The sequence below is a fragment of the Homo sapiens genome, chromosome 19 (genome assembly GCF_000001405.40).
Source record: "Homo sapiens chromosome 19, GRCh38.p14 Primary Assembly".
In the NCBI taxonomy this organism is placed as follows: domain Eukaryota; kingdom Metazoa; phylum Chordata; class Mammalia; order Primates; family Hominidae; genus Homo; species Homo sapiens.
The window spans coordinates 18,919,389-18,946,921 of record NC_000019.10 but is presented as its reverse complement, the minus strand read 5'-3'; the positions used below and the strand labels follow the sequence as shown (position 1 = coordinate 18,946,921).

The 27,533-nt window shown below is 56.1% G+C and overlaps 2 protein-coding genes and 1 long non-coding RNA gene across 11 annotated transcripts, besides 5 other annotated features; 1 reads left to right on the top strand and 2 right to left on the bottom strand.

The window, feature by feature from the left end:
• Positions 1-90: 90 nt before the first annotated feature.
• On the bottom strand, positions 91-6,668 carry HOMER3-AS1 (HOMER3 antisense RNA 1). 2 transcript variants are annotated; one of them, NR_134912.1, is made up of 3 exons: positions 6,298-6,668; positions 690-841; positions 91-596 (listed from the first exon to the last, which is right to left on the bottom strand). It is a non-coding gene; the product is annotated as an HOMER3 antisense RNA 1 (long non-coding RNA). The 2 variants fall into 2 exon arrangements; NR_134913.1 differs by having other exon boundaries at positions 694-841.
• Positions 5,542-5,741: a silencer, noted in NCBI's record as "silent region_10426". NCBI's record gives its function as "represses an Ori minimal core promoter by ATAC-STARR-seq in GM12878 lymphoblastoid cells {active_cell/tissue: GM12878}" and the evidence as "EXISTENCE:reporter gene assay evidence [ECO:0000049][PMID:35858748]".
• HOMER3 (homer scaffold protein 3) lies at positions 5,705-17,721 on the top strand. 6 transcript variants are annotated; one of them, XM_047439733.1, is made up of 11 exons: positions 5,705-5,871; positions 6,518-6,601; positions 7,873-7,953; positions 8,038-8,194; positions 8,438-8,569; positions 12,512-12,619; positions 13,877-13,998; positions 14,790-14,946; positions 15,297-15,413; positions 15,511-15,597; positions 17,288-17,719. In XM_047439733.1, the coding sequence occupies exons 3-11, from the start codon at positions 7,940-7,942 to the stop codon at positions 17,477-17,479; spliced, it is 1,086 nt and encodes a 361-aa protein (XP_047295689.1). In that variant the 5' UTR covers positions 5,705-5,871; positions 6,518-6,601; positions 7,873-7,939; the 3' UTR covers positions 17,480-17,719. The 6 variants fall into 6 exon arrangements, 5 of the variants coding, with proteins under 5 accessions (XP_047295689.1, NP_004829.3, NP_001139193.1 ...); NM_004838.4 differs by lacking the exon at positions 6,518-6,601; NM_001145721.1 differs by lacking the exon at positions 5,705-5,871 and having other exon boundaries at positions 6,570-6,601; positions 17,297-17,721.
• Positions 13,116-13,734: an enhancer, noted in NCBI's record as "H3K4me1 hESC enhancer chr19:19043997-19044615 (GRCh37/hg19 assembly coordinates)". NCBI's record gives its function as "activates a minimal SCP1, AML or CMV promoter by ChIP-STARR-seq in naive H9 embryonic stem cells {active_cell/tissue: H9 hESC(naive)}" and the evidence as "EXISTENCE:reporter gene assay evidence [ECO:0000049][PMID:30033119]".
• Positions 14,421-14,931: an enhancer, noted in NCBI's record as "H3K27ac-H3K4me1 hESC enhancer chr19:19042800-19043310 (GRCh37/hg19 assembly coordinates)". NCBI's record gives its function as "activates a minimal SCP1, AML or CMV promoter by ChIP-STARR-seq in naive H9 embryonic stem cells {active_cell/tissue: H9 hESC(naive)}" and the evidence as "EXISTENCE:reporter gene assay evidence [ECO:0000049][PMID:30033119]".
• Positions 14,932-15,443: an enhancer, noted in NCBI's record as "H3K27ac-H3K4me1 hESC enhancer chr19:19042288-19042799 (GRCh37/hg19 assembly coordinates)". NCBI's record gives its function as "activates a minimal SCP1, AML or CMV promoter by ChIP-STARR-seq in naive H9 embryonic stem cells {active_cell/tissue: H9 hESC(naive)}" and the evidence as "EXISTENCE:reporter gene assay evidence [ECO:0000049][PMID:30033119]".
• On the bottom strand, positions 18,292-27,207 carry DDX49 (DEAD-box helicase 49). 3 transcript variants are annotated; one of them, XM_011528084.4, is made up of 14 exons: positions 27,066-27,207; positions 26,219-26,271; positions 26,013-26,088; positions 25,174-25,259; positions 24,958-25,079; positions 24,409-24,596; positions 24,178-24,318; positions 22,614-22,689; positions 22,223-22,299; positions 21,943-22,040; positions 20,545-20,619; positions 19,068-19,156; positions 18,886-18,957; positions 18,292-18,794 (listed from the first exon to the last, which is right to left on the bottom strand). In XM_011528084.4, exons 4-14 carry the CDS (start codon positions 25,175-25,177, stop codon positions 18,606-18,608), a joined length of 1,131 nt encoding a protein of 376 aa, XP_011526386.1. In that variant the 5' UTR covers positions 25,178-25,259; positions 26,013-26,088; positions 26,219-26,271; positions 27,066-27,207; the 3' UTR covers positions 18,292-18,605. The 3 variants fall into 3 exon arrangements, 2 of the variants coding, with proteins under 2 accessions (XP_011526386.1, NP_061943.2); NR_033677.2 differs by lacking the exon at positions 26,013-26,088; NM_019070.5 differs by lacking the exon at positions 26,013-26,088 and having other exon boundaries at positions 26,219-26,342.
• Positions 26,933-27,532: an enhancer, noted in NCBI's record as "active region_14334". NCBI's record gives its function as "activates an Ori minimal core promoter by ATAC-STARR-seq in GM12878 lymphoblastoid cells {active_cell/tissue: GM12878}" and the evidence as "EXISTENCE:reporter gene assay evidence [ECO:0000049][PMID:35858748]".

Genomic DNA, 27,533 nt, shown 5'->3' with positions numbered 1-27,533 from the left:
ACGACCCTTTCTTGCCTGGGCCTGAGGGAGCCTGGCTCCATTGCTTCATGGGGGGTTGTTGAATGAATTAACTTTAGCCGTGGGCAGAAGTCAAGTTCTGAATTTAAGGCAGGGTCTCCTTCAAGTGATGCAAAATCACCAATAGTACTGAGTCATCAAACTCCCCCTTTGCCTGACCCCCATGCGTCCACACTATGCTGGAAGATGACAAACTCTAGGGAAACATGGGCCCTGGTCTCAGCCCTTGAGAGACACTCAGGCTGGGGGAGTCAAAGCTGCACACAGACACTCCCAGGAGTCAGGGCTGGGCCAGAAAGAGGGAAGAGGGCTGGAAAAGGTCTAGAGGTAGAGGAGAGAGCTTCTTGGGGAGGAGAGCATTGAAGGTGAGGCTTTGAGGGATGAATAGGAGTTTGCAAAGAGGCTAATGTCTGGAGGTTGGCCCAACCAGCTATGGCTTGGGGAATGAAGAGAAGGAAGAGGGAGGTAGCTGGAGGGGGCACCTGAGAGGCCAGGAGCTAAAGATTTAGAGGATGTCATGCCAGGTTGGACCCATTTCTGTCCTTGAGAGTTCAGGCCTGGTTGGAGTCCTCTAACTTCTGAAAAAGAAAAGAGTAAGAGGTTGGTTCAGGATCAAAACCACATACCAAAAATAAATATGATGTTTATAACAGCAAGCATTTATTAAGCACCTACAATCACGTTCTCTTCACATAACAACTCATTGGAGGCCAGATGCAGTGGCTTACATCTGTTATCCCAGCCCTTTGAGAGGCTGAGGCAGGCAGATCTCTTGAGTCCAGGAGTTGGAGACCAGCCTGGGCAACATAGTGACACCCCATCTCTACAAAAAATACAAAAATTAGCCAGGCGTAGTGGTGTGCACCTGTAGTCTCAGCCACTCAGGAGTCTGAGGTGGAAGGATTGCTTGAACCCAGAAAGTTGAGGCTGCAGTGAGCCATGATTGAGCCACTGCACTACAGCCTGGGCAACAGAGTGAGGCCCTGTCTCAAAAAAAAAAAAAAAAGAAAAGAAAAGAAAAGAAAGAAAAAGGGTGGGCGTGGTGGCTCACATCTGTAATCCCAATAGTTTGGGAGGCCAAGGCGGGTGGATCACTTGAGTCCAGGAGTTGGAGACCAGCCTGGCCAACATGGTGAAACCCCTGTCTCTACTAAAAACACAAAAATTTAGCCGGCTGTGGTGGCGTGCGCCTGTAATCCCAGCTACTAGGGAGGCCGAGGCAGAAGAATTGCTTGAACCTGGAAGGCAGAGATTGCAGCAAGCCGAGATTGCGCCACTGCACTCCAGCCTGGGTGACAGAGCAAGATTCTGTCTCAAAAGAAAAAAAGAAAAGAAAAAGAAAGAACTCATTGGATCCCTACAGTAAACCTCAGAAGTGAACACCATTCGTATGCCCATTTTATGGATGGGGAACCTGAGGCACAAAGAAGGGAAAGTGACTTCTTCAGGGTGGCACTGCTGGTAAGCAGCAGGGCTGGGATTCACTCCCTGGCTCACGTGATTCCGAAAGCCAAGTCGAAAGCTGGAACCTGGGGATCTCCTACTCCTGAAAGTGCTCATAGAAAGCTGTCACAGGGGCCAAGGGCGGTGGCTCACGTCTGTAATCCCAGCACTTTGGGAGGCCAAGGCGGGCGGATCACGAAGTCAGGAGATTGAGACCATCCTGGCCAACATGGTGAAATCCTGTCTCTACTAAAAAAAAAAATACAAAAATTAGCTGGGTGTGGTGGCGAGTGCCTGTAATCCCAGCTACTCGGGAGGCTGAGGCAGAAGAATAGCTTGAACCCAGGAATTGAAGGTTGCAGTGAGCCGAGATTGTGCCACTGCACTCCAGCCTGGCGACAGAGTGAGACTCCATCTCCAAAAAAAAAGAAAGCTGTCACAGGTCAGGCTTGTTCTAGGTGCAGGGACAAATCCATGTAAGAGGTGAACAGTAACCAAATCATGCCATAAACAATAAACAGACCTGAAGTAGTCACCAAGACCTTCACTGGGAGGTGGGCACCCAGCTTTCGGGAAGAGCAGGTGGACTGTCCCTGCTCTGGTGGCACAGAAAGTCTCTGGAGAGGAGAGACTGTTTAGCCTCACTCCAAAGGCTAGGTCAGATCTAACTAGGCAGAGACCAGAGCCTGAGCCATAAAAGCCATTCTGCAAATGCAGTTTTCTTAGTGCTGAATGAGCTGTTCAGGCTCCCGCTTGGTTTCCCCTTTAAGGTGGGAAGCTCATTCTCCCACACCATTTTTCAGCCCCAAAGGAAAGTTGCTTTCCTAGTCAGACACCTTGGGGTGGCCTCTGCCTGCCCTGCAAGGACATCTCAAGTCTGTTCCTTCCTTCCTTCCTCCCTCCCCCCCACCCTTTTTTGTTTTTGTTTTTGAGACAGAGTCTCCTTCTGTCACCCAGGCTGGAGTACAGTCACCTGATCTCAGTTCACTGCAACCTCTGCCTCCTGAGTTCAAGCAATTCTCCTGCCTCAGCCTCCCGAGTAGCTGGGATTACAGGTGTGCACCATCACGTCCGGCTAATTTTTGTATTTTCAGTAGAGACGGGGTTTCACCATGTTTTGACCAGGCTGGTCCCAAACTCCTGACCTCAGGTGATCTGCCTGCCTCAGCCTCTCAAAGTGCTAGGATTACAGGCATGAGCCACTGCACCCAGCCCAGTTCTTTAGAAGAGAGGCCTCCAGACCTAGGAAGAAGAGGGCCCAGACTGGGGTGGGGGCAGCAGCTCAGGGCAGCCCTCGTTAGAGACGAGGTCTCACTATGTTGCCCAGGCTGGTCTCGAACTCCTGAGCTCAAGCGATCCTCCAGCCTCGGCCTCTCAAAGTGCTGGGATGACAGGCATGAGCCCAGCCCCTTTCTGTGACTCTTATGTTACCTGTTTATTATATGACCAGGTCTAGGTGCTCCTCTAGGGCTGGCCCATCCATCCTGAAGCCTCAGTCTGACCCAGCATAAGAGTGACTATTCATCCCAGCAGGGAAACTGAGACACAGACTCTGTTTTCCCAGCTGCAGCAAAGAGTGGCAGGGCCTTTGCCCACGAACCTAATGGCAGGCACCCCAGAGGACAGCTGCTGATATTGACTAAATCCTTCATGTTTCTCCCTCTACTAGAAGCCCTGCAAGCATCGGCCCATTTTCCAGGTGAGAAAACTGAGGCCCACACTGAGGAAGCCAGTGCCTCAGTGTAGACTTGGCTAGTCCAGCTTCAGGTTGGGGCTGCTCAAGGCCAGCCCTGTCCCAGCCCCTCCCAGAGACCGGAGAGGGTGTTCAGGAAAGCAACTCAACCCTTCACTGTCTCTTTCACTGTTGCTTTCTGCCCACACAAAGGGCAAAGTCTGCCTGGGCCCCTCGCCCAGCCGCCCCTGTAAAATAGCCACAGGGCCCCACTTGTGCACTTGGCAAACTCTAAGCAGCTTCCAGAAGCCTTGGCCATGCCAGCACCTTTCCCAGATACTTTTTTATTTTTTCCATTATTTTGTTGGTAATAAGGAAAAGTCATTTTTTGCACAGAACAGACGGTATTTTCTTTGCTCCCCACAATGTTCAAGCATTTCGTGGCTTCCGGCCTGAGAACAGAGCCAAATCCTTCCCTTGTGCAGATGCCTCGTGAAGTTAGAAGCAGCCAGGGAAACCGAGTCTGTGCCTCAGTTTCCCCTGTGGGATGAACAGTCGCTCTTGTGCTGGGTCAGACTGGGGCTTCAGGATGGATGGGCCAGCCCTAGAGGAGCACCCAGACCTGGTCATGTAATAAACAGGTAACATAAGAGTCACAGAAAGGGTCTGGGCTCACACCTGTCATCCCAGCACTTTGGGAGGCCGAGGTGGGAGGATCACTTGAGCTTAGGAGTTTGAGACCAGCCTGGGCAACATAGTGAGACCTCGTCTCTAAAAATAAACTTTAAAAAAGAAAAAAAAAAGAGTCACAGGGATTGGGACAGGGGAGGGCAAGATCCCTTCCAAGGCCAGGGTAGTCAGAGAGGCTTCCTGGAGGAGGAGACAGGGTGGTGGCGCTGAGCCTGGAAGGACAAGGCAGAAGAGATGCCTGCAGCGAGGGCATTCCAGGTGGAAGGAACAGTTTGGGCAAAGGCCTGGATGGGGGAAGACTCAGATCTTGGCGCAGGAGTCAATCTCCAAAAACAACCTGACCTGGAATTCACCTAAAGGTAATTTGAATGTAATGTAACCGCCAGCTCAGATATACTATTCTTCTTAGAAGGAAACAGAAATAAAGGAACAGGGAAAGGAGACAGGAGCAGAGGTCTTGGAGATGAAAAGCAAAAGCCTCTCTGAAGTTGTCAAAACACTCAAGTGTCGGCCAGGTGTGGTGGCTCACGTCTGTAATCCCAGGACTTTGGGAAGCCGAGGGGGGCAGATCACTTGAGGTCAGGAGTTCGAGACCAGACTGGCCAACATGGTGAAACCCCATCTCTACTAAAAATACAAAAATCAGCCAGGTGTGGTGGCATGCACCTGTAGTCCCAACTACTCGGGAGGCTGAGGCAGGAGAATTGCTTGAATCTGGGAGGCAGAGGCTGCAGTAAGCCGAGATTGTGCCACTGCACTCCAGCCTGGGCAACAGAGTGAGACTTTGTCTCAAAAAAAAGAAAAGAAAAGAAAAGAAAAACTCAAATGTAAGATCAGAGCTTTAGGGCGCCACAGGCCTTGGTTCCAGGGAGCTGCAGGACCTCTGTCCACAAACGAACCAACGGCGCCGCACCGTGTGATTTTGGAGACGGTGCCAGAGAGGGGGCGGCACCAGGATTGACAAGTGGGACACATGGGCTTGGGGCTGGGGAGGTGGATCCTAGTTCAACTCCGGAAGGATGCTCTCCTGGCAAGTGTGGGAAGGGGGTGCTCCCTGTGACCAGAGGTGACAAACGCAGGCCAGTGGAGGCTGAGGGGATGCAACCATGCGTTGGAGACATTTCCTCAGCCTTTGGATTTTGGAACCCTCAAACAACAGCAAAGATAACCTTAATCCAACCATTGTGGGCATTTTTACCATCGTCTTGGGAGGGACAGAGGTGGACAGACGTCCCTGCTTAGGGATGGGACGGGCAGGGGAACAGAGGCTTCTCTCTCTTTGTCTTGCTTCCCGTTCCCTCCCGAAGTTGATCTCTTCCGTTTCCTGGCAACACCCATTGAGCACTTACTGTATGCAGACCCTGAGACCCACTGCCCCCTCCCCAACCTCACTGGGCCACCCATGTCAGCCCGGGAGGGACCTGACCTCCCTCACAGGCCCAAAGTTATGACCTCAGGTAGTGGGGACAGAGGCAGCTGTCTCCTGAGAAGGTGACAGGAGGGTGAGGTCACATCGCTGTCCGTGCAACTCTCTCCATCTGCTTCCTATCTCTCCGCCTGTCTCCCCCGTGTCTCTGTTTCTGGGTCTCTTTCTCATCCCAGATGTCCCTCTCCGTCTGTCTCTCTGTCCCCACCCTCTGCTCCCAACCCGACCCCACGCAACCCCCCCCCCCACTCCCCCTCCACCGCCCCTAACCCCCTCCCTCAATCCTCCGTCCCTTCCCCAGTCCCGGCCCCCGCCCCTCCCCCTTATCCCCTCCCCCATACCCTCTCCCAGTGCAAAAAGCCGGCAGGGGGCGCAGCGGGGCGGCCTTGGCGGCCCGGGGAGGCGGGGCGGGCGGCGGCCGCGTCGGGACCGGCCGCGATGGGACCGGAGGCGGCGCGGGCGGCGGCGGCGCAGACAAAGGCACGGGCGGCGTGGAGGGCGGCGCGGAGGGCGCGGGCCCGGGAGCCAGGGAGCGAGCGGGGCGCCCGGCAGCGCGGAGTCAGCGCCGCGGGGGCCGCACCCGACTCGCGCCTGGACACTCGCGGGGCGCCGACCTGGCAGGGTGAGCCCGGCCTGCCGAGCCTGCGCTGGGAGCGCGGGGGCCTCGAAGTCCCAGGGCCAAGGGGAGGGCGTGGGGGTTCCCCAGAAGTTTCGGACCCGGGACTGGGAGCGGCGCGAGGGGTCCCCAAGTTCCAGGGCTGGAGGGAGCGCGGGGGTCCCGAAGTTCTGGATTCAGGGTCTGAGAGGGGACTGCGTGGGAGGTTCCCAAAGTTCTGGACCCGGCGTTGGAGGAGGCTGCGAAGAGGTCCCCAAAGCTGCGGACCTGGGGTGGGGTACTGGGGTGGGAGGGGTCCGGACGTCCCGGACCCAGGGACTGGAGGGGTGGCAGGGGGTCCTCGAAGTTTAGGAGTCTAGGACAACGCGGAGGACCGGGGTCCCGGACCCAGTTAGAGGAGGAGTCACGAAGGGAGTCCCCGGAGTTACCGACCTGGGGTTGGAGGAGGCAGAAGAGGTGTCCCCCGAAGTTCTGGACCCAGAGACAGGGGGCGTCGCGGGAATCTCGGAAGTTCCAGGGTCAGAGCCCGCGTCCCGGAGTTGGGGCGTGCACTGGGTGTCCTGCCTCGGGTGGGGATGGGATCCTGAATTAATATTAACCCCCCCGTCCCCCGCACTCGGGTGCATGGGATGGGGCCTCATCCACCGGCCAGATTGGGGATCCCGGGCACCGGGCGGTGTCGGACCCCCCTCCGGGAGCCCCGTGGCCGGCGGCATCCGAGGCGCATGACTAGTTGGTGAGTAACTTTCCCCAAACGCTGCAAGTCGCAGCAGGAGCTGCCGGACCGGAAGGGCCTGGGTTCCGGGGACCCCTGTGTTCCCCAACTCCCACCCGGCGCAGGACCCGCCCCCAGTCCAGGCCAGAGCTGCCGCCCCACCCCCACTCAGGGGCTCCGGTTTCAGACCCTGTGACCAGGACAGCAGCTGCCCAGGACAGGATAGGGGGGGCATCCCCCCTTTGACCACAGAGGCCGCTGGGCCAGGGCCTCCCCTCCCCCACCTGTCTTCCCCCTCCTCCAAACTCCTCCTTGGTCCCCTGCAGATTCGGGGTTGCTGAATGGCCCAATGGGGAGGTTGGGGAGCCCTGGTCTCCCAGTGTGGATTCTGCTCTGCCCTCATGGTGGGCATTGGGATTGGCTGTTTGTCTACATCTTGTCTTTTTAACTTGGCTGGGGGCTCCCTGGGGATTTGGACTCTGGACTTCAAGGTGTGCTTCTGCCCTAGGGTGGGAGCTGCTGGGGGTGGGGTCCCTCTGCAGGGTGTAGTGGGGAACTGGTCTCCTGGTACTACACACCTCTCAACGCCCCATTTTTTGGTGGAGAGCCCCGCTCTGGCCAGTCATGGGTGAATGTGGTGGAAAGAACTCAGCAGAGATTTGGCCTCCACAGCTCAGCCTGGGATGGAGGGGACTTCACGGGGGTGCAATAACCAGGACAATGAGAAATTTACATCTGGATGTCAGCGGCCACCAGGCTCCTCTCAGAGGGCCATCTCCTGTACAGGGTGTTGTGGGGGCTTCCCCTAGACAAAGAAAGATGGGGTCTGCTTGCTCTGAGTTATCTATAATAATTATCTTACCTTTTTGTTTCTTTTTATAATTTCTTTCTTTTTTGAGACAGGGTCTCACTCTCTTGTCCAGGCTGGAGTGCAGTGGCCTGACCATAGCTCACTGCACTGCAGCCTTGACCTCCTGGGCTCAAGTGATCCTCCCACCTCAGCCTCCCCAGTAGCTGGGACGGCAGGCACATGCCACCACACCCAGCTAATTGTTTAAATTTTTGGTAGAGATGGGGTCTCGCCATGTTGCTCAGGATGGTCTCGAACTCCTGGGCTCAAAGGATCCTCCTGACTCAGCCTCCCAAAGCACCAGGTGTACTTTGGGCCTCTCCTGCCTTTTTGATTGAAAGTTCCATGACGGGCACACCTGGTGATGGGTCCTGAGATGGAACCTGCTTGGCCTCCCTCAGCCTGGCCTGAGGGACACTCATAGTCCCTCCTCTCTCCCTAGGGGCCAAACCAGTGCTCCTGCCACCTCTCTGGCTGCCCCCTAGAGCCTGCCCATCCCAGCCTGACCAATGTCCACAGCCAGGTGAGCTCCCACCTCCCCCAGCCTGGCCCTGAGCTTTCTAAGTGGGGGTGCCTGGCCCCCACCAAACACCCTCTCCCCACGCAGGGAGCAGCCAATCTTCAGCACACGGGCGCACGTGTTCCAAATTGACCCAGCCACCAAGCGAAACTGGATCCCAGCGGGCAAGCACGCACTCACTGTCTCCTATTTCTACGATGCCACCCGCAATGTGTACCGCATCATCAGCATCGGAGGCGCCAAGGTCAGGGTGGGGTCTGGGTGGGGCAGAGGCACCAGGAGTCCTGGTGACAACCTTGGGTCTGGTGGCTGGCTTGCTGTGTGCCCAAGGGACAGGAAACCCTAAGCCTTCCCAGGCCCTAGTCTCTATCTCCTGAAAGGGTTCAGAGTAAAGACCTTCAAGACCCTAATACAAGGTAATACCTGGGGGGTTTCATGTTTGTTAGTATCTGTCCCATCTACCTTGAACTTTGTTCCCCGACCCTAGGCCATCATCAACAGCACTGTCACTCCCAACATGACCTTCACCAAAACTTCCCAGAAGTTCGGGCAGTGGGCCGACAGTCGCGCCAACACAGTCTACGGCCTGGGCTTTGCCTCTGAACAGCATCTGACACAGGTGGGCCGGGTGAGGGGGAGAGTGGAGGGAACCGATGAGACTGGGCCCAAGTCTTCTCCTGGGCTCACTCTGGGATCTTGGGCAGGTCCCCTATCTTCCCATCTGCAGGATGGGATTGTAGGATGAGTTGAGACTGAAGCCCCTTTAAGCTTCCCCGGTTTGATTCCTAGTTCATTTTTCTGTTTTTTTTTTGAGATAGGCTGCAGTGATCTTGGCTCACGCAACCTCCGCCTCCCGGGTTCAAGCGATTCTCCTGCCTCAGCCTCCTGAGTAGCTGGGACTACAGGAGTCCGCCACCACGCCCAGCTAATTTTTTGTATTTTATTAGAGACAGGGTTTCACCATGTTGGCCAGGCTGGTCTCGAACTCCTGACCTGAAATGATCTGCCTGCCTCGGCCTCCCAAAGTGCTGCAATTACAGGCATGAGCCACTGTACCTGCTCTTGAGTCCTAGTTCTACTGCCTGTAGCTCTAATTTTGGACACACCCTGCTCCTCTTTGGGACATCAAATGGGTGGCTGGGCTGGGCTGGGCACTTTCCCACATGCCCCAGCAATACCTTCATCCTCACCTCCCTGCACCCTGTGCCGTCTCTATACTTCCATTATTATCTTTATCCGTGGTTTTGTTGATGATGAGTGCTTTCACGAAGATCTTCTTCTTTTTTTTTTTTTTTTTTTGGAGATAATGCCTTGCTCTGTCCCCCAGGCTGGAGTGCAGTGGCACGATCTCGGCTCACTGCAACCTCCACCTCCCGGGTTCAAGCGATTCTCCTGCCTCAGCCTCTGGAGTAGCTGGGATTACAGGTGCCCACCACCTCGCCCAGCTAATTTTTGTATTTTTAGTGGAGATGGGATTTTGTTGGCCAGGGTGGTCTTGAACTCCTGACCTCAGATGATCCACCTGCCTCGGCCTCCCAAAGTGCTGGGATTACAGGCATGAGCTACCACACCAGGCTTTCTTTGTTTTCTTCTAGAAGGTTTAGAATTTACCTTTCTTCTTTTTTTTTCCCTCCCTCCCTCCCTTCTTTTTTTTTTTTTTTTTAACAAGATCTTGCTCTGCTGTCCAGGCTGGAGTGAAGCAGTGCAATCATGGCTCACTGCAGCCTCAAACTCCTGGGCACAAGGGATCCTCCCACCTCAGCCTCCTGACTAGCTGAGACTATAGGCGTATGCCACCATGCCTAGCTAATATCTTTAATCTTATTTTTTTTAGAGATAGGATCTCACTATGTTGTCCAGGCTGTTCTTGACTCCTGGCCTCAAGCGAGCCTCTCACTTTGGCCTCCTAAAGTGCTGGGATTACAGGCTTGAGCCACTGCACCCAGACAATTTACTTTTTTTTTTTTTTTTGAGACGGAGTCTCGCTCTGTCGCACAGGCTGGAGTGCAGTGGCGCGATCTTGGCTCACTGCAAGCTCTGCCTCCCAGGTTCACACCATTCTTCTGATTCTTCTGCCTCAGCCTCCCTAGTAGCTGGGACTACAGGCGCCTGCCACCACGCCCTGCTAATTTTTTTTGTATTTTTAATAGAGACGGGGGTTTCACCGTGTTAGCCAGGATGGTCTCGATCTCCTGACCTCGTGATCCACCCACCTTGGCCTCCCAAAGTGCTGGGATTACAGGTGTGAGCCACCGCGCCCGGCCCCAACAATTTACCTTTCTAATTTAGGTCTTTTTTTTTTTTTTGGAGACAGAGTCTAGCTCTGTTGCCAGGCTGGAGTGCAGTGGCCCGATCTCGGCTCACTGCAACCTCTTCTCTCCAGGTTCAAGCAATTCTCCTGCCTCAGCTTCCCAAGTAGTTGGGATTACAGACACACCACACCTGGCTAATTTTTGTATTTTTACAAAATTTTTGTTTTTTTAATTTTTGTATTCTTAGCAGAGACAGGGTTTCACTATGTTGGCCAGGCTGGTCTCAAACTCCTGACTTCAGGTAATCCGCCTGCCTCAGGCTCCCAAAGTGATGGGATTACAGGTGTGAGCCACTGCACCCAGCCTAAAAAATCATTTATTTATTTATTTATTTATTTATTTTTTTGAGACAGAGTTTCACTCTTGTCCCCCAGGCTGGAGTGCAATGGTGCGATCTCGGCTCACCGCAACTTCCGCCTCCCCGGTTCAAGCAATTCTCCTTCCTCAGCCTCCCAAGTAGCTGGGATTACAGTCATGTGCCACCATGCCTGGCTGATTTTGTATTTTTAGTAGACATGGGGTTTCACCATGTTGGTCAGCCTGCTCTTGAACTCCTGACCTCATGATCCACCTGCCTCGGCCTCCCAAAGTGCTGGGATTACAAGCGTGAGCCACCACACATGGCCTTATCTATTTATTTTGAGACAGAGTTTTGCTCTGTCACCCAGGCTGGAGTGCAATGGCACAATCTCAGCTCACTGCAACCTCCACCTCCTGGGCTCAAGCAATTCTCCTGCCTCAGCCTCCCAAGTACTAGGATTACAGGCGCCCACCACCATGCCTGGCTAATTTTTGTGTTTTTAGTAGAGATGGGGTTTCACCATGTTGGCCAGGCTGGTTTCGAACTCCTGACCTCAAATGATCCGCCCGCCTTGGTCTCCCAAAGTGCTGGGATTACAGGTGTGAGCCACCGCACCCGGCCTAAAAAATTATTTTTAAACTAAGGAAATTTATTTTAAAACCGGGGTGGTGGGGGGAAACATATCCTATCCTAACTGGAAAACTGGTATTGCTTTGTCATAAATAGGTGGTAAATGTAAACATGTAAACATTTAATACAACAAAAACAAGAATGAGATGATTACTTTCTCATTGACTTCTGATGTCTCTCAGAGCCTGAGACCTAATCTCTTTGTTATAAAGGAATAATAACAGGTGTTAAAGACAGATTAGCACCCACCTGAGGCTCTCTTTGTTGAAATAGCCCTGATAAAGATTAAAAGGGACCCCACATGTTGGCTCATACCTGTCATTCTCACACTTTGGGAGGCCGAGGTGGGTGGATCACGGGGTCAGGAGTTCGAGACCAGCATGGCCAATATGGTGAAACCCCATCTGTACTAAATACAAAAATTAGCTGGGCGTGGTGGCACGGGCCTGTAGTCCTAGCTACTCGGGAGGTTGAGGCAGAAGACTCGCTTGAACCTGGGAGGCAGAGGTTGCAGTGAGCTGAGATGGTGCCACTGCACTCCAGCCAGGGTGACAAAGCGAGATTCTGTCCCCCCCCAAAAAAAAAAAAAAAAAAGGCTGGGTGCTGTGCCTGTAATCCCACCACTTTGGGAGGCTGAGGCAGGCGGATCACTTCAAGCCGGGAATTTAAGATCAGCCTGGCCAACATGGTAAAACCACATCTCTACTAAAAATATGAAAATTAGCCAGGCATGCTGGTGCATGCCTGTAATCCCAGCTACTCATGAGGCTGAAGCAGAGGCTGCCGTGAGCCAAGATCATGTCACTGCACTCCAGCCTGGGCAACAGAGCAAGACTCCATCTCAAAAAAAAAAAAAACAAAAAACAGGAAAAGGGCCATTCTGGGGAACATGGCTAGACCCCGTCTCTAGAAAAAATTAGCCGGGCATGATGGCACACACCTGTAGTCCCAGCTCCTTGGTGGAGGGGTAAGGTGGAAGGGTCACTTGAGCCAGGGAGGTCAAGGCTGCAGTGAGCCGAGATCATGCCACTGTACTGCAGCCTGGGTGACAAAGTGAGACCCTTTCCTAAAAAGAGGACATGGGAATTCCTTTCCCTTTCTCAATGTGGCCCAATGTATTTAAATGCCACCTCTGTGATCTGATGCCACCTGCCCACCCACCATGGTACATCATTTTTCAAAGTTTCTCTCCTTCTTCCAAGGTGTGTGATAAGGGGATGGGTACGGTTCGAAAGTGGCGGGGCTGTCACTGAGTGATGGTGACCTGTTTGGGAGGATGGGCTGGGGTTTTACTGTCTTTTCCTCCCCACTCCCTTAGTTTGCCGAGAAGTTCCAGGAAGTGAAGGAAGCAGCCAGGCTGGCCAGGGAGAAATCTCAGGATGGCGGGGAGCTCACCAGTCCAGCCCTGGGGCTCGCCTCCCACCAGGTCAGCACTCCCTACTCCCCTATGCCTGCCTGGGCACCTGTGAGTCAGCCAGGCGCTCAACTGATATTGGGGGACCTTGATATTGGGAGACCGGGGCACTCTGCTGGTCGTCAAGACCCAATGCTTCCAGATGACCTAAGGTTAGACCCACAGCAGGGACCACAGAGGAGTGGTGTGGAGTGTGTCATAGAGGGTCTGGACCTTGCCTGGGGCCGGTGGGGTACACCCAGTAGGTCCCAGTAGCAAAACCAGCTCAGATGGCAGGATGGAAGACTAGAAATTGAAATGGCTAAGTGTGGCCGGGTGCGGTGGCTCACGCCTGTAATCCCAGCAATTTGGGAGGCTGAGGAGGGAGGATGACTTGAGGCCAAGAGTTCGAGACCAGCCTGGCCAACATGGTGATACTCCACCTCTGCTAAAAAATACAAAAATTAGCCAGGCGTGGTGGCATGCGCCTGTAGTCCCAGCTACTCGGGAGGCTGAGGCAGGAGAATCGCTTGAACCCAGGAGATGGAGGTTGCAGTGAGCCGAGATCGTGCCACTGCACTCCAGCCTGGGTGACAGAGTGTGACTCTGTCTCAAAAAAAAAAAGAAAGAAAGAAATGGCTAAGTGTGAGGCAGAACAACGAACTGTCCCTGCGTGTTTTCCCACATTAATTTATTCAGCATTATTTATTGAGCACCTGCTGTGTACCAGGCCGAGGGCTGTGCACAGGGGTTGGAGAGATGAAAAAAAGCATGAGCCTCCAGCTGCTGCCTGCACTGGGCTGCGGTGGCGCTGGCCTCTCGCAGGGCACCCGCCAGCTTGTCTACCCTCAGAGCCAGTGGTCCAGGCAGTGGGGTTGCTCACGAAACACGAATTCGGCCTGGGCAGGGCTTCCTGCTGAAATCCTAAACGTGATGTTGAAGTTCGGCCTCAGGGAAGGGAACAGCAGGGAGGTGTCCGATTGTACCCCTCCCCTACCTTACAGGTTCTAAGTATCTTGGTTTAGACTAACCTGCATCAGACTTGCTCCTGGGGGTGGTGAAAGCCCAGGAAGGCAAGGTCGAGGGCGTGGGCATGGAACTCCCAGCTTAGGGGCCACAGGGAGCCATGGAGGGTGGGTGAGGTGGGGAGGGACACACTTGGATCCTGTGCTGTGAAGGACCTGCTTAGGGTGCATAGGTCAATTGCACCCCCGATGTGACGACCCCAGTCACATCAGCCTTGATCCCAGCTGATGTGGGGTCGTGACCTATTCTTTTCCCCGTGCCTAGGTGCCCCCGAGCCCTCTCGTCAGTGCCAACGGCCCCGGCGAGGAAAAACTGTTCCGCAGCCAGAGCGCTGATGCCCCCGGCCCCACAGAGCGCGAGCGGCTAAAGAAGATGTTGTCTGAGGGGTGAGGGGCGGGACTTGGGGGCGTGGCAGGGGCGGGGGTAGGGGTGGGGGACGAGGAGGCGGTTCTTGGAAGCCAAGGGAGTGCCAGGACGGCGGGATCTAACTGTGGACTCAAGACCTGGGGAAGGGGATGAGGATCTGAATGCTGCCCCATCCAGAGCCGACCCCGCCCCTACCCTGCGTTGGCCACGCCCCTCTGTTTTGACCCCATCCCTGTCTCTTCTCGCTGCTAACCTCGCCCCGTCGATGCCTCTCTGGTCTTAGGATAACCACCCTGACCACGCCCCCATCGGCTGACTCTCCCCAACCTCCCATCCCTCCCTCAACATTCCCACAGTGTCACTGGGCGGACTCCACGTGCCCCCTTCTTTGACTCGGTCCTCGACAAGACCCCGCTTCTGCGGGACTGCCCCATCCCCAAGCTCAGCAATCAGTGTCGCCACATCCCCAGCCCTGCGTGGCCCTGACTCCGTGCCCTAGCCCAAAGCCACCCCTCCTCTGGCCCCGCCCCCTAGCCCAGCATCGCCCGTGACTCCGCCTCAGCCCAGCGCCACCCACCCTGGCCCCGCCCCCTAACCGAGCATTGCCGCTGACTCCGCCCCCAGCCCAGTGCCACTCCACCCCTGCCCCGCCCCCTAGTCCAACTTCGCGCACGACTCCGCACCCTCGCCAGCCTTCGCCCTGACCTAAGCCCAGAGCTATCCCACCCCTGGCCCCGCCCCCTAGCCCAGCATCGCCCGACTCCGCCCCCCAGCCCCGTGTCACCCACTGCCGACCCTCGTGTCTCTGCAGCTCCGTGGGCGAGGTACAGTGGGAGGCCGAGTTTTTCGCACTGCAGGACAGCAACAACAAGCTGGCAGGCGCCCTGCGAGAGGCCAACGCCGCCGCAGCCCAGTGGAGGCAGCAGCTGGAGGCTCAGCGTGCAGAGGCCGAGCGGCTGCGGCAGCGGGTGAGGGCACCCCTCCCTCCGAGAGACCCCCACCTGGCCCGGGCAACTGTGGAGACCGCGCCTCGGCAGTTCCCATCTGCCCTGGGTTCATGGACTAGCTGTGTGACCTCAGCAGGTCACTGACCCAGCCTCAGTTTCTTGCTCTGTAAAATGGGTTTGAGACAATGCCAGCCTCAGAGGGTGATCAGACACTAAAGTCCAAGCTGTGCAGAGGGGGGTGGTGGCACCAACCAAGGGAGATGGGTGCTCGGTCCTGGGCGTGGCCAGACAGGAGGCAGATTCCCTAGAGGTTGGGCGAGCAAGGGAGAGTGCAGGCGGGGGCGTCAGGGGCTGCTATTCCTGCCCTACAGGTGGCTGAGCTGGAGGCTCAGGCAGCTTCAGAGGTGACCCCCACCGGTGAGAAGGAGGGGCTGGGCCAGGGCCAGTCGCTGGAACAGCTGGAAGCTCTGGTGCAAACCAAGGACCAGGTGAGTGCCAAGTGTGGTTCCTGGGCCTCGCCTTCCCTCACCTCCTGTGGGAAAGCCAGGACCCCCGCAACAGACCCTGGGAACTCTTCTCCTCTAGGAGATTCAGACCCTGAAGAGTCAGACTGGGGGGCCCCGCGAGGCCCTGGAGGCTGCCGAGCGTGAGGAGACTCAGCAGAAGGTGCAGGTGTGTGTGGGCACAAGGAGGTGGGGTGACGGTGGGTGACAGTCACCTCAACAGACACTCAGGACAATATCTACCTAAGATGATAAAGTATTGGGAGGCCCAGTCCTGTGGAAGGCCTGATGCCCAGCAGGTGCCGCGTGAACAGTGGCTGTTGGTACAGTTTCATATCCATCTATGGGTTCAACAAGCAATGCTTGAGTTCCTGCTGTATTCCCATGCCAGACCCCGTCAATTCCTCCTGTTCTCAGCCTGAGATCACAGAGCCTGCATTGGAACTAGGTCTGGCTTGGCTTGGCTTTATTTTTTTTTAATTCTTTGAGATGGAGTCTCGCTCTGTTGCCCAGGCTGGAGTGCAATGGCACGATCTCAGCTCACTGCAACCTCCACCTCCCGGGTTGAAGCAATTCTCCTGCCTCAGCCTCCTGAGTAGCTGGGATTACAGGCGCCCGCCACTACACCCAGCTAATTTTTTGTATTTTTAGTAGAGACAGGGTTTCACCATGTTGGCCAGGCTGGTCTCAACTCCTGATCTCATGATTTGCCCGCCTCGGCCTCCCAAAGTGCTGGGATTACAGACATGCGCCACCGTGCCCGGGCATTTTTTGTGTTTTTAGTAGAGATGGGGTTTCCTCATGTTGGCCAGACTGGTCTCGAACTCCTGACCGTGAGCAATCTGCCCTCAGCCTCCCAAAGTGCTGGGATTATAGGCTTGAGTCACCACGACTGGCCTTGGCTTGGCTTTTGCTAAAGGCTTTATCTGAGAAATGTTCAGGGGGTACTTTTTTTTTTTTTTGAGACGGAGTCTCACTCTGTTGCCCAGGCTGGAGTGCAGTGGCGCAAGCTCCGCCTCCCAGGTTCACTCCATTCTCCTGCCTCAGCCTCCCGAGTAGCTGGAACTACAGGTGCTCGCCACCATGCCCGGCTAATTTTTTGTATTTTTTGGTAGAGACGGGGTTTCACCATGTTAGCCAGGATAGTCTCGATCTCTTGACCTTATGATCCACTCGCCTCGGCCTCCCAAAGTGCTGGGATTATAGGCGTAAACCACTGCGCCCAGCCTTTTTTTTTTTTTTTTGAGATGGAGTCTCACTCTGTCACCCAGGCTGGAGTGCAGTGGCGCGATCTCGGCTCACTGCAAGCTCCGCCTTCTGAGCTCAAGCGATTCTCCTGCCTCAGCCTCCAGAGTAGCTGGGACTACAGGTGTGCACCACCATGCCCAGCTAATTTTTGTATTTTTAGTAGAGATGGAGTTTTACCATGTTGGCCAAGCTGGTCTTGAACTCCTGACCTCAGGGGATCCACCTGCCTCCGCCTCCCAAAGTTCTGGGATTACAGGTGTAAGCCATCACTGGGCGTGGTGGTGTATGCCTGTAATCCCAGCTACTTGGGAGGCTGAGGCAGGAGAATTGCTTGAACCTGGGAGGCGGAGGTTGTAGTGAGCCGAGATCACGCCATTGCACTCCAGCCTGGGCGACAAGAGCGAAACTCCTTCTCAAAAACAAACAAACAAACAAAAGAAATGAGGGCAGAAGCTAGGCCCCTGTGGGGTGTGCATTTTATTCCTGGTGTGTTGGGCGCCCTAGGATGGCTCTGGGCAGAAGAGGGACATGAAGGTGGTCAGACTCTGGATGCCTCGGGCAGGACTGGTGATTTGTTGGGGCCCCCAACCCTGCCCACCCTTTCCTGGCAGGACCTGGAGACCCGCAATGCGGAGTTGGAGCACCAGCTGCGGGCGATGGAGCGCAGCCTGGAGGAGGCACGGGCAGAGCGGGAGCGGGCGCGGGCTGAGGTGGGCCGGGCAGCGCAGCTGCTGGACGTCAGCCTGTTTGAGCTGAGTGAGCTGCGTGAGGGCCTGGCCCGCCTGGCTGAGGCTGCGCCCTGAGCCGGGGCTGGTTTTCTATGAACGATTCCGGCCTGGGATGCGGGCCAGGCTGCAGGCGGCATAGTTGGGCCCATTCGTCCTGGAAAGGGACTGGGGGGTCCCAACTTAGCCCTGGGTGGGCCGGGCCGGGCTGGGCTGGGGTGGGCCCCAGTCGGCTCTGGTTGTTGGCAGCTTTGGGGCTGTTTTTGAGCTTCTCATTGTGTAGAATTTCTAGATCCCCCGATTACATTTCTAAGCGTGGCTGTGTGTGTGTGGTATGTGGGTATCTGGGCACTTAACATGTCGCCGGCGCCTTTCCCTGCGTCTTTTTGGGTGCCCCTGAATCCATGTAGCAGTTATAAGCCGCTTGCAGATGAGGGGTGAGGCTTGGAGTCCGAGGGGGGTCCAGGCCACACAGCCAGGAAGCTGGCTCTGGTGTCTCTCTGCCTGTCCCCTTGGGCTTAGCCCACATTGTCTGGCCAAATTTGGACTTTCATGGCCCCTTCACTCTGGCCACAAACCCCAGATGTGGCCAGGTGGGTGGCCAGGGAAGCTTATAGCTGCACCCATTCGGCACAGGACTGACCTCACCAAAGCCTCACAGCTGCCTCTGGAGAGCAGGGCAGTTGCTATGCCCATTCTCCAGATGAGGAAACTGGAAGCCCAGAGAAGGGGCTTCAGGGCCCAAAATCCCATGGCCATTCGAGCAGCTGGTGTCTGCAAAACTTTGGGCCTGCCTGGTGGAAATGGACATGGTGTTCTGGGCAGACACCTGAGAAACAACAGCGGCTGCACCCCACCTCTCCTGTCCCCCTGCTCTTCGAAAGTCAGACTGAGGAAGTCAAAAGACCCGTTTATTAAGCACCTCCTGTATGCGGCACCCCTGGGGGGTGACCTTGGGTTGGGGTCACAACCTCCCGGTCATGTTCTTTCTTCCCCTGCAGCCTGAATCTTGGCCAGGGCTCAGGGAAGGGACCAGCCAGTGGTTTCGGGGCAGAGGAGCAGGGCCCGCACAACACGAGCGCCCACGGGTTCTGCTGTGGGGCACTGGGTAGGCCCCCGGGAAGGGCTGCTGCCCCCAAGGAAGGTTCCTCCGACCCTCAGCTCCATGGACGAGTCAAGGACTGGGCAGATGGCCGTGTGGGGCTCAGACCAGGCCCTGGGAGGGGACTGGGCCTGAGTGGGACCCAGACGGTGTCCTGGGTGGACGCCCCTTGTGGCCAGCCCTGCCAGCCTTCTGTCGCTTCAGCGTCTCCTCCACCTTCTCCTTGAAGCGCCGGTTCTTCTGCTTGATCTTGGCCAGCTCAGCCTTGCGCTTGGCCTCCAGGTCAGGGTCCTGGCACAGGGAGGACCAGGGGATGGCTGAGCTGGCGGCCCCCGCCAGGGAACCTGGCCACCCACCCCCTACCTGCGGGCTCGGCCCTCACCTTCCCCTCCAGGATCAGCTGCTTCCGTTTGTTGATCTCCTTCTTTTCGTCAAAGTGGGCCGCCTCCAGTTTCTGGTGGAGGGAAGTGGGGTAAGGAGATGCTGGTCACGGGGGCCCCACCTGGAAGGGAGCACCCCCGGCCCTGGAGAGCACTTTAGTTCCTGCCCGCCTCTGACACTCACGATCTCACACTCTCTTCGCACCACGTTGACCTGTGTGAGGATCTGTAGCACCTCGGCCTCTTCCACGGAGAACTCCTCCAGCTTCTTCTCTGTGGGGACAGCAAAGCCGGGGGTGGGGGTGGGGAGGAGACGTGACATGGAGAGGGAGTTCAGCCAAGTAGTGAGTTCCCCATGCTGTGGGGTATGCAAGGCCATCTGGGGCCATATCAGGTAAGGGTCAGCTGAGCAAGATCAGGGATTTCTGAGGTAAGGAAGGTATGGACCGCTGTCTTTCAGAGTCTCACGGTCACCCAAGCTGGAGTGCAGTGGCACTATCTCGGCTCACTGCAACATCCGCCTCCCGGGTTCAAGTAATTCTCATGCCTCAGCCTCCCCCCGCCATTTTTTTTCGGTGTTAGCAGCATTATGAGTTTAACCATGAATATTAATTTCTTGCAAACAGTGTCCTTTAAAGTCCAGATATTTCTTTCTTTTTTTTTGAAGACAGGGTCTTACTCTGTCGCCCATGCTGGAGCGTGGTGGCTCAATCAGGTCACTGTAGCCTCCGCTCAAGCAATCTTCCAACCTCAGCCTCTTGAGTAGTTGGAACTACGGGCGTGTGCTGCTAGTTTCTATATTTTTTGGAGAGGCAGGGTTTCTCCACATTGCCCAGGCTGATCTCAAACTCCTGGGCTCAAGTGATCCACCCACCTTGGCCTCCCAAAGTGCTGGGATTACAGGTGTGAGCCACCGTGCCCGGCCTTAAAGTCCAGATGTTTCTCTTTTTTTTTTTTTTTTTTTTTTTGAGACAGAGTCTCACTGTCACCCAGGCTGGAGCGTAATGGCGCGACCTTGGCTCACTGCAACCTTTGCCTCCCGGGTTCAAGTAATTCTCATGCCTCACCCTCCCAAGTAGCTGCAATTACAGGCGTGCGCCACCACACCTGGCTAATTTTTGTATTTTTAGTAGAGACGGGGTTTCACCATGTTGCCCAGGTTGGTCTTGAACTCCTGGGCTCAAGTGATCCGCCCACCTCGGCCTCTCAAAGTGCTAGGATTACAAGTGTGAGCCACTGTGCCTGGCCAAGTCCAGATGTTTCTAAATTTCAGGACAGTCTATGCAGTGATCAGAGATACCTTAGGAAGTGTCTCTGTCTTGGCTGCATATGAAACCATTCCCAGGGGTTTTTAGCAGGCCAGGCCCTGTCAATGGGGCCTCTGACATCTCAGGGACCTTCCATACATCTCAGTCTAAGAAACCCAAGTCCCCTCCTGACTGATGTGGCTTTCAGCTGCTGGCGACAACTATGGGGAGTTTGTTTCAATAAATGGGCAAAAGAACTTCTTTTGGGGGTGCCTAGGGAAGGAAGCCCCAGCCTAAATCTGCTCACGGGAGCAGGCCGGCTGGTGTCTGACGGGAAAATGGGTCTCACCCCGAGGTGCCCACCTCTGCCCACCCCACCCCTCCTTCTCTACCACCCACCCCAACCCCACTCACTGATCTGCTCCTCGATGGCGTGCACCAGGTGGATGTCGTACTGTGTCACCAGCGTGATGGCCTGACCCTGCCGCCCTGTGGGGATGTGCCGGTTATCTGCTATGTGCTGGGCGTCAGGACATGGGGCGAATAAAGGTAGATCCTGACAGCTACACAGCTCAGGGGTCCTGGAGATGCTGAACAAGGGCTTGGGCTTGGGAGGGATCAGCCCAGAGTGTCTGGGCTTGACCCCAAGCAGGACCACTGTGTGGAGGACGGGTCGCTGGGGAGAGGCAGGTCTGCCAGTCTGGCCTTACACAGCAGTTAGTTACTGCCCGATTTCCCTTTTTGGCTTGGCTGCCAGGGAACCCAGTCTAAGTAATGCCAGCCATTAGCCCTGACGGGCCTCAGCCCAAGATCTCTGCTTGCTGTTTTCTGTGACGTTGACTAGGGCCGAAACTGCACTGATGGTGGACAAGGTCCGTGACCCTCATGGCAGCCCCACGAGGACGTCACCATTCTCATTATCCACCATGTGAGGTCTAGGGAGTGGAAGTGACCTGCCCAGCACCACAGGGTCAGGATAGAAGGTCCAGGCCCAGTCCGACCCCAGCAACCACATCTTTCCTGGCTTCAGAACTGACAGCATCTCATGGACACCATGCCCCTCCCTGACGAGGCAGCAGCAAGTAGTGGGGGCCGGAGCTGTGTGTGCACCCTCCCAGGGGGCAGCCCCACACTGCTCAGTTCATCACCTGGCTTGGGTGAAGGCAGCACCTGACTTGCATTTGCTTTATTTTACAATTTTATTTTATTTACTTATTTTAGTTTATTATTATTTTTTGAGACAGAGTCTTACACTGTTGCTCAGGCTGGAGTGCAATTGTGCGATCTCCACTCATTGCAACCTCCGCTTCCCGGGTTCAAGCAATTCTCCTGCCTCAGCCTCCCGAGTAGCTGGGATTACAGGCACCCTCCACCACGCCTGGCTAATTTTTTTGTATTTTTAGTAAGACAGTGTTTCACTATGTTGGCCAGGCTGGTCTCGAACTCCTGACCTCGTGATCCACCCACCTCGGCCTCCCAAAGTGCTAAGATTACAGGCGTGAGCCACCGCACCTGGCCTATTTTATTTTATTTTTTTGGAGACAGAGTTTTGCTCTTTTTGCCCAGGCTGGGGTGCAATAGTGCATTCTCAGCTTGCCGCAACCTCCCGGGTTCAAGTGATCTTCTTGCCTCAGCCTCCCGAGTAGCTGGGATTCACCTTTGCTTTAGAAAGGACAACTCCCCAACTTGCAAACATGGCCCTGAGTAGCTCTCATCTGTGGGCTGCACCCTACCCACGTCCTACCACCTGAATTTGCTGGGCAGGCTGGAGGGACAGAGGCCCAAGGCTCGGCCTCCCCCTCCACTGCTCACCTGCACGGGCCGTCCGGCCGACTCGGTGGATGTAGATCTTGGGGAGCCCGGGGGTGTTGTGGTTGATGACCACCTGTACCGTAGGGATGTCCAGGCCCCTGGAGGCAGAGGTGGCTGGTCAGCTCCACTGTCCATGTGGGGAAACCGAGGCAAGGACTCACCCAGGGTCACTCAGCAGGGATGCTAGGGCTGCCTGACATGCCTGAGGCCAGCCTTCTCATCTGTGGGGCCTTGTAGTAAAAGAGGGAGTGCCCTTGGCAGGAGACTGGGGGCTGCTCACCGGGAGGCCACGTCTGTTGCGATCAGGATCCGGTAGATGCTGGACTTGAACTTGGCTAGGGCGGCAAAGCGTTCTTTCTGCACAGGGTTGGGAAGAAAATTGGGAATGCATGAAGGCAGGGTTTTCTGTGTGAGGCCTCGGGACAGGGTGGAGGCCGGGACAGTCCCCAGCCGTCCATTGAGGAAGGTGGCCATGAGAAGTCAGACCGGGACAAATGAATGACGGCTAAAAGAGATGCGGTCAGGGAGGGCCTCTTGAGCTGCGATATTCTGGGACCAGAAGAGACCAGGTGGCAGGAAGAAGGCGCCCGGCAGAAGGAAGGATCGGGGCCAATGTCTGAGGCGGGGAAGGTATCCCAGGGTGAGGCTGGCGGGCCCCAGGGTGGCCTCACCTGCTTCATCATGGAGTGCAGAGCCACGGTGGGGAAGCTGAATTTGCGCAGCATCATGCACAGAATCTGGCAGGTCCTGGCGGGAAGGATGTGCCTGTCAACCCCTCCAGCTCTCAGGTTCTGGGAAGGTGTTCCTGCCCCCACCCGCCCCTGAGACACCTAGCACAGTGGCCTCATGCAGCTTAGAAAGGAGAGGCAGCAGGCCAGGCACGGTGGCTCATGCCTGTAATCCCAGCACTTTGGGAGACTGAGGCGGGTGGATCACTTGAGGCCAGGAGTTCAAGACCAGCCTGCCCAACATGGCAAAACCCCATCTGTACTAAAAACACAAAAATTAGCCGGGCATGATGGTGTATGACTGTAGCCTCAGCTACTCAGGAGGCTGAGGCAGGAGAATTGTTTGAACCCAGGAGACAGAGGTTGCAGTGAGCCGAGATTGCGCCATTGCACTCCAGCCTGGGGGACAGCGTGAGACTCTCAAAAAAAAAAAAAAAAAAAAGAGGCAGGATGAGGGTTGACAGACGGCTTGCCTGCCTGATGTCCTCTCTGCTGATCCCTCCCTGGAGCTGGAACTGACAAGAGTTGGCCCTGGGACTGCAGGGCTGGAAGGCTGGAAACTGACTTGCTAGGGGTGGTCACTGTTACCAAGAAGGCCAAGAAGGAGCCAGCAGAGGAAAACAGAGGAGAAAGAGGGGCACAGGGAGAAAGGATGGGGACCATCACATAAGCTGCTGGATCCTGCCACGCCTGACAGCCACCCTGCAGCCAAACTTTTCTCTCTTTTTCCCTGAGACAGTCTCACTTTGTCCCCCAGGATGGAGTGCAGTGGCGTGATCTCGGCTCACTGTAACCTCCACCTACCGGGTTCAAGTGATTCTCCCGCCTCACCTTCCCCAGTAGCTGGGACTACAGGTGCTCGCCACCATGCCTGGCTAATTTTTGTATTTTTAGTCGAGATGAAGTTTCACCACGTTGGGCAGGCTGGTCTCGAACTCCTGACCTCAGGTGATCCGCCTACCTCGGCCTCCCAAAGTGCTGGGATTACAGGTGTGAGTCACTGCACCCAGTCCCAACTTTTCTCTTCTGGGAGGTAACGCATTTAAAGCGCCTTGATTTCTGCCCTTCTATCCTGGCTCATGCTGGAAGAGCCTCCAGCTTCTCAATGACCTTCCCAAACAATTCAATGAAGATATGAACTGCCCTCCCCAGGGGTCTCTGTCTGTGCAGACGCACACCAGGCCTGTTAGTTGTCACAACTTCCTCTGAGATGGGACTAAAGGCCCAGGAAAGCTCAGTGACACCCCCAGAACACAGCAAATGGGCTGCTCAAACAGCTGCTTGCAGGGGTTTCCTGGCCCTTCCATCAACGGCTGGGCTGAGGAACCCCAAAGGCCGGCTGCACCTTCAGATTGAGGGACCTTGGCTCCTTGAGGGAAGCCCCCATGACCTCCAGGCTGAGCAGAGGCTGGGGAGTGCTGAGACTGGCTGTGTGTCCCAGACCAAAGACGTCGGGCCACCTCCTCCTTTGAAGGGCGGTGGGAGGGGAGAGGCGGGCCCCGCTCACTTGCACGTGTTGGTGAAGATGATAATGGACCAGTCCTCGTGCTCATCCTGGAAGCGCTGGATCAGGTGGACCAGGTAGGCGTCCTTGACCTTCTCAGGCACCAGCAGGTAGCGCTGGTCCAGCTGCTCCACGGTGCTCACCCTGGGGATGGACAGATAGACCGCCACGCCTCAGTGTCCCTGTCTGTAGGATGGGGCTGCCCTCCCCACGCTGTCTGGGCTGTGGACTCACGGGGCCTGTGCTTCCCAGAAGAAGGGCTGGTTGGTGGCCAGACCCTGCAGCTCCCGGAGTGTGTCGGTCAGCGTGGCGCTGAACAGCAGTGTCTGCCTGCGGGCCGGCACAGCCGCCAGGATGGCCTCCAGGTCCACGGTGAAGTCAGTGCAGCCCTGTTCCAGCAGCCGGTCTGCCTCATCCATCACCTGCCGTGCCAATGGGGGCAGGGGTGAGGGTGCCGTCCATGGCCCCGGGTCTTGGCCACCCCTGAAGCAGGCCTCTTTGAGAGGCATGGACATGGACCCTAGGCCCTGGAGTACCCTCCTTCCAAGGGAGGCCTGCCCCTCACCCAAGTCTCAGCAAGGCCCTACCCCCGAATAACATTGCTAGGACTGGGCCCCCTCTTGTTGGTCCTTGAACGGTCCTTGTCACTGTTCCTAGCGTTTTACTGGACAGTCTAACGGACATACGTTTCCTAAATGGATGAGATGGTGCCCCAGGCTCTGACATTGGGCCTGGAGGCTCCGAGCCCAGCTCCTGAGGTCTGCAGGGGCGGGGCGAACTCACCAGGAAGCGGATCTTCTTTATACTAAAAGTGTTGGAGCTGCGCAGGTGATCTGCCAGGCGCCCCGGCGTGGCGATGACCACGTGTGGTTTCCGAGAGAGCTCCAGCGCCTGGGCCACCATGTCTGGGGGACAGAGCATGAGAGGCAGGGCTGGGCAGGTGGTCCAAAGCTGCTAGGGTCCCATGCTGGGGCTTCCCCCGCCTCCCAGCTCCCGTACCCATGCCACCGACGATGATGCAGTCTTTCAGCCCTAGAGGCTTCCCCAGGACCCGGAACTGCTCTGCGATCTGGTAGGCCAGCTCCCTGTGGGTGTGAAGGGGCCAGGCTGGGTCAGGTAGTGGTTCTGGACCTGCCCCCCATTCCCCTCTCCATCCCCAGGGTTCCTCCCTGAGCCCCCAGGCTCCTGACTTGCCCAGTCCTGTTCACAAAGGCTCTGATGCTGAGCCTTGGAGGCCATTGTGGCCCCTGCCCCCTCGCCAGGCTCAGCCTGGAACATCCCTCCTTCACCAGCCCGACCCAAGCTGACCTCAGCATCTCTTCCTATCCCAAACCTGTGCCTTCCCCCAGTTCGCCTTTCAGCAATGGCCTCACCACCAGCCAGTTGCCCCAGCCAGAGGGTCTCAAGCATCAGCCTCCTTTCTGCCCCCAACCAACTCTGTCCTGGCCTCTCCCTGGCTCATGACCTTTCCTGCTCACACACCCCCAGAATCAATTCTAACCCTCCGCCTGGCATTCAAGGCCTTTCTCAAACTGGCTCCAATATGCCCAGGTCCCAGTACCCTTTCTGCTGCCTGCCTCTTTCTTTCTTTCTTTTTTTTTTTTTTGAGACAGAGTTTTGCTCTTGTTGCCCAGGCTGGAGTGCAATGGCACGATCTTGGCTCACCGCAACCTCCGCCTCCTGGGTTCAAGCGATTCTCCTGCCTCGGCCTCCCGAGTAGCTGGGATTACGGCATGCGCTACCATGCCCAGCTAATTTTTTGTATTTTTAGTAGAGACGGGGTTTCTCCATGTTGGTCAGGCTGGTCTCAAACTCCTGGCCTCAAGTGATCCGCTCACCTGGAGCTCCCAAAGTGCTGGGATTACAGGTGTGAGCCACTGCACCGGGGCCATCTTGTTTAATTCTGCAGGACCCCTAAGAAGCGGGTAGCAAGATTTTCATGCTCATCTCACACGTGGGAAAAGGGCGCTCAGAGAGGGAAAGGTGCTTGCCCAAGAGAGCACAGCTGGTTAACCCATACCCAGGAGGCCTGCTGGGGGCTTACCTGGTGGGTGTCAGGACGAGGCAGAAGATGCCATAGGGATCCTCAGACAGCTTCTGCAAGATGGGAAGGACAAACGCTGCTGTCTTCCCACTGCCTGTCTTAGCACAGCCCAAGCAGTCTCGACCTGGGTTGGGGACAAAGCAGCATCAACACCCTCCATGTGTGGACAGCTGGGTTTCAGAGACCTTGCCCAGGACACACTGCCAGTGAGTGGCAGGCTGGACTGGAACCCATATCCATTTGACCCGAGATGCCCACAGCTTCCTACCACCTCGTTCTAACTCCGTCCAGGAGCACGTGAATTTGGGGAATCCAGAATTCCCTTCCCTCATATGCATCTTGTGCTCCCTGTTGACCCCTTCATTTGTTTATTTAATCCCTGACTTATCACATCTTAGGCTTCCTGTGGGCCTCTCTTTAATGGCGAAACTGGGTTGGGCTAGAGGAGCAGAGAGAAGACCTTCTCCTAGAGGAGCAATCACAGGACCAAGGAGTCCTGGATCTACCAGCAATTTTGACAGCCTCAACTTCTATTTGTAAAATAAAGATAGCAGTACCAGGTCTGCAGGATTTTGCGATACTATCGGACTAGTCATCCATCAAACCCTCCCTGTGCTGAGACTATGAAAATTTCAGAGATTACATCACTTGCGTACGAACACAAAGCGAGTCAGTCATGCAACCTAAATGCCAACACTGTCCAGTCGTCCTCCGGAACCCCGGATCTCCTGTAACGCCCGAGGTTGCCCCTCGCCTCGTGGGACCGGAATAAGCAAAGGTTGCGAGAAGGGAAAGGAGTCGAGAGGAGCGGAGAGGCCTCTTGGGGAAGGCCCTGGGCCATACTCACCCTCCAGGATGGCGGGGATGCAGCCGAGCTGCACGGGCGTGGGCTGCTTCAAACCCAGCTGCCGACATTGTTCCACGAGCCACGATGACAGCCCGAGCTCCGCGAAGCCTGCCATCCTTGTGGCCGCTTGTAGGGGCCCCTTGTAGGGGCCCGTGTGATCCGCGCTTCCGGCGCGCGCCGACGACGTCACGAGAAAAATCTTCCTGTTTATTGGATCTGCCTCCTGCGTGGTCCCACCCTCTCCAGCTCCCTCAGCCTATTCCCAGCCTCGACCGCATCCTTATCATGTTTCCCCGGATCCCATTGGCTTGCAGAAACACACTACAATTCCCGAGATGCTCTCCGTGACGCACTTACGCCTTCCGCCCCCTTGCATATTATTGTGGAGCTTCCCATTGGCTTACTTCGCCGCCGCTCGGAAAAAGTAAACTACATTTCCTAGCGTGCCCGTGTCTTGCTTCCGGCTGA

What these genes read in the sequence shown, in the direction of transcription:
- HOMER3 (NM_004838.4), top strand. An exon ending in TCAGCATCGGAGGCGCCAAG is followed by an intron (nt 8,195 to 8,437) that starts GTCAGGGTGGGG and finishes CCCCGACCCTAG; the next exon opens with GCCATCATCAACAGCACTGT. An exon ending in TGGTGCAAACCAAGGACCAG is followed by an intron (nt 15,414 to 15,510) that starts GTGAGTGCCAAG and finishes CTTCTCCTCTAG; the next exon opens with GAGATTCAGACCCTGAAGAG.
- DDX49 (NM_019070.5), bottom strand. Translation starts at nt 27,180, where the DNA reads ATGGCAGGCTTCGCGGAGCTCGGGCTGTCATCGTGGCTCGTGGAACAA. An exon ending in TAAAGAAGATCCGCTTCCTG is followed by an intron (nt 24,597 to 24,957) that starts GTGAGTTCGCCC and finishes TTGGCACGGCAG; the next exon opens with GTGATGGATGAGGCAGACCG. An exon ending in AGCTGATCCTGGAGGGGAAG is followed by an intron (nt 18,795 to 18,885) that starts GTGAGGGCCGAG and finishes TCCCTGTGCCAG; the next exon opens with GACCCTGACCTGGAGGCCAA.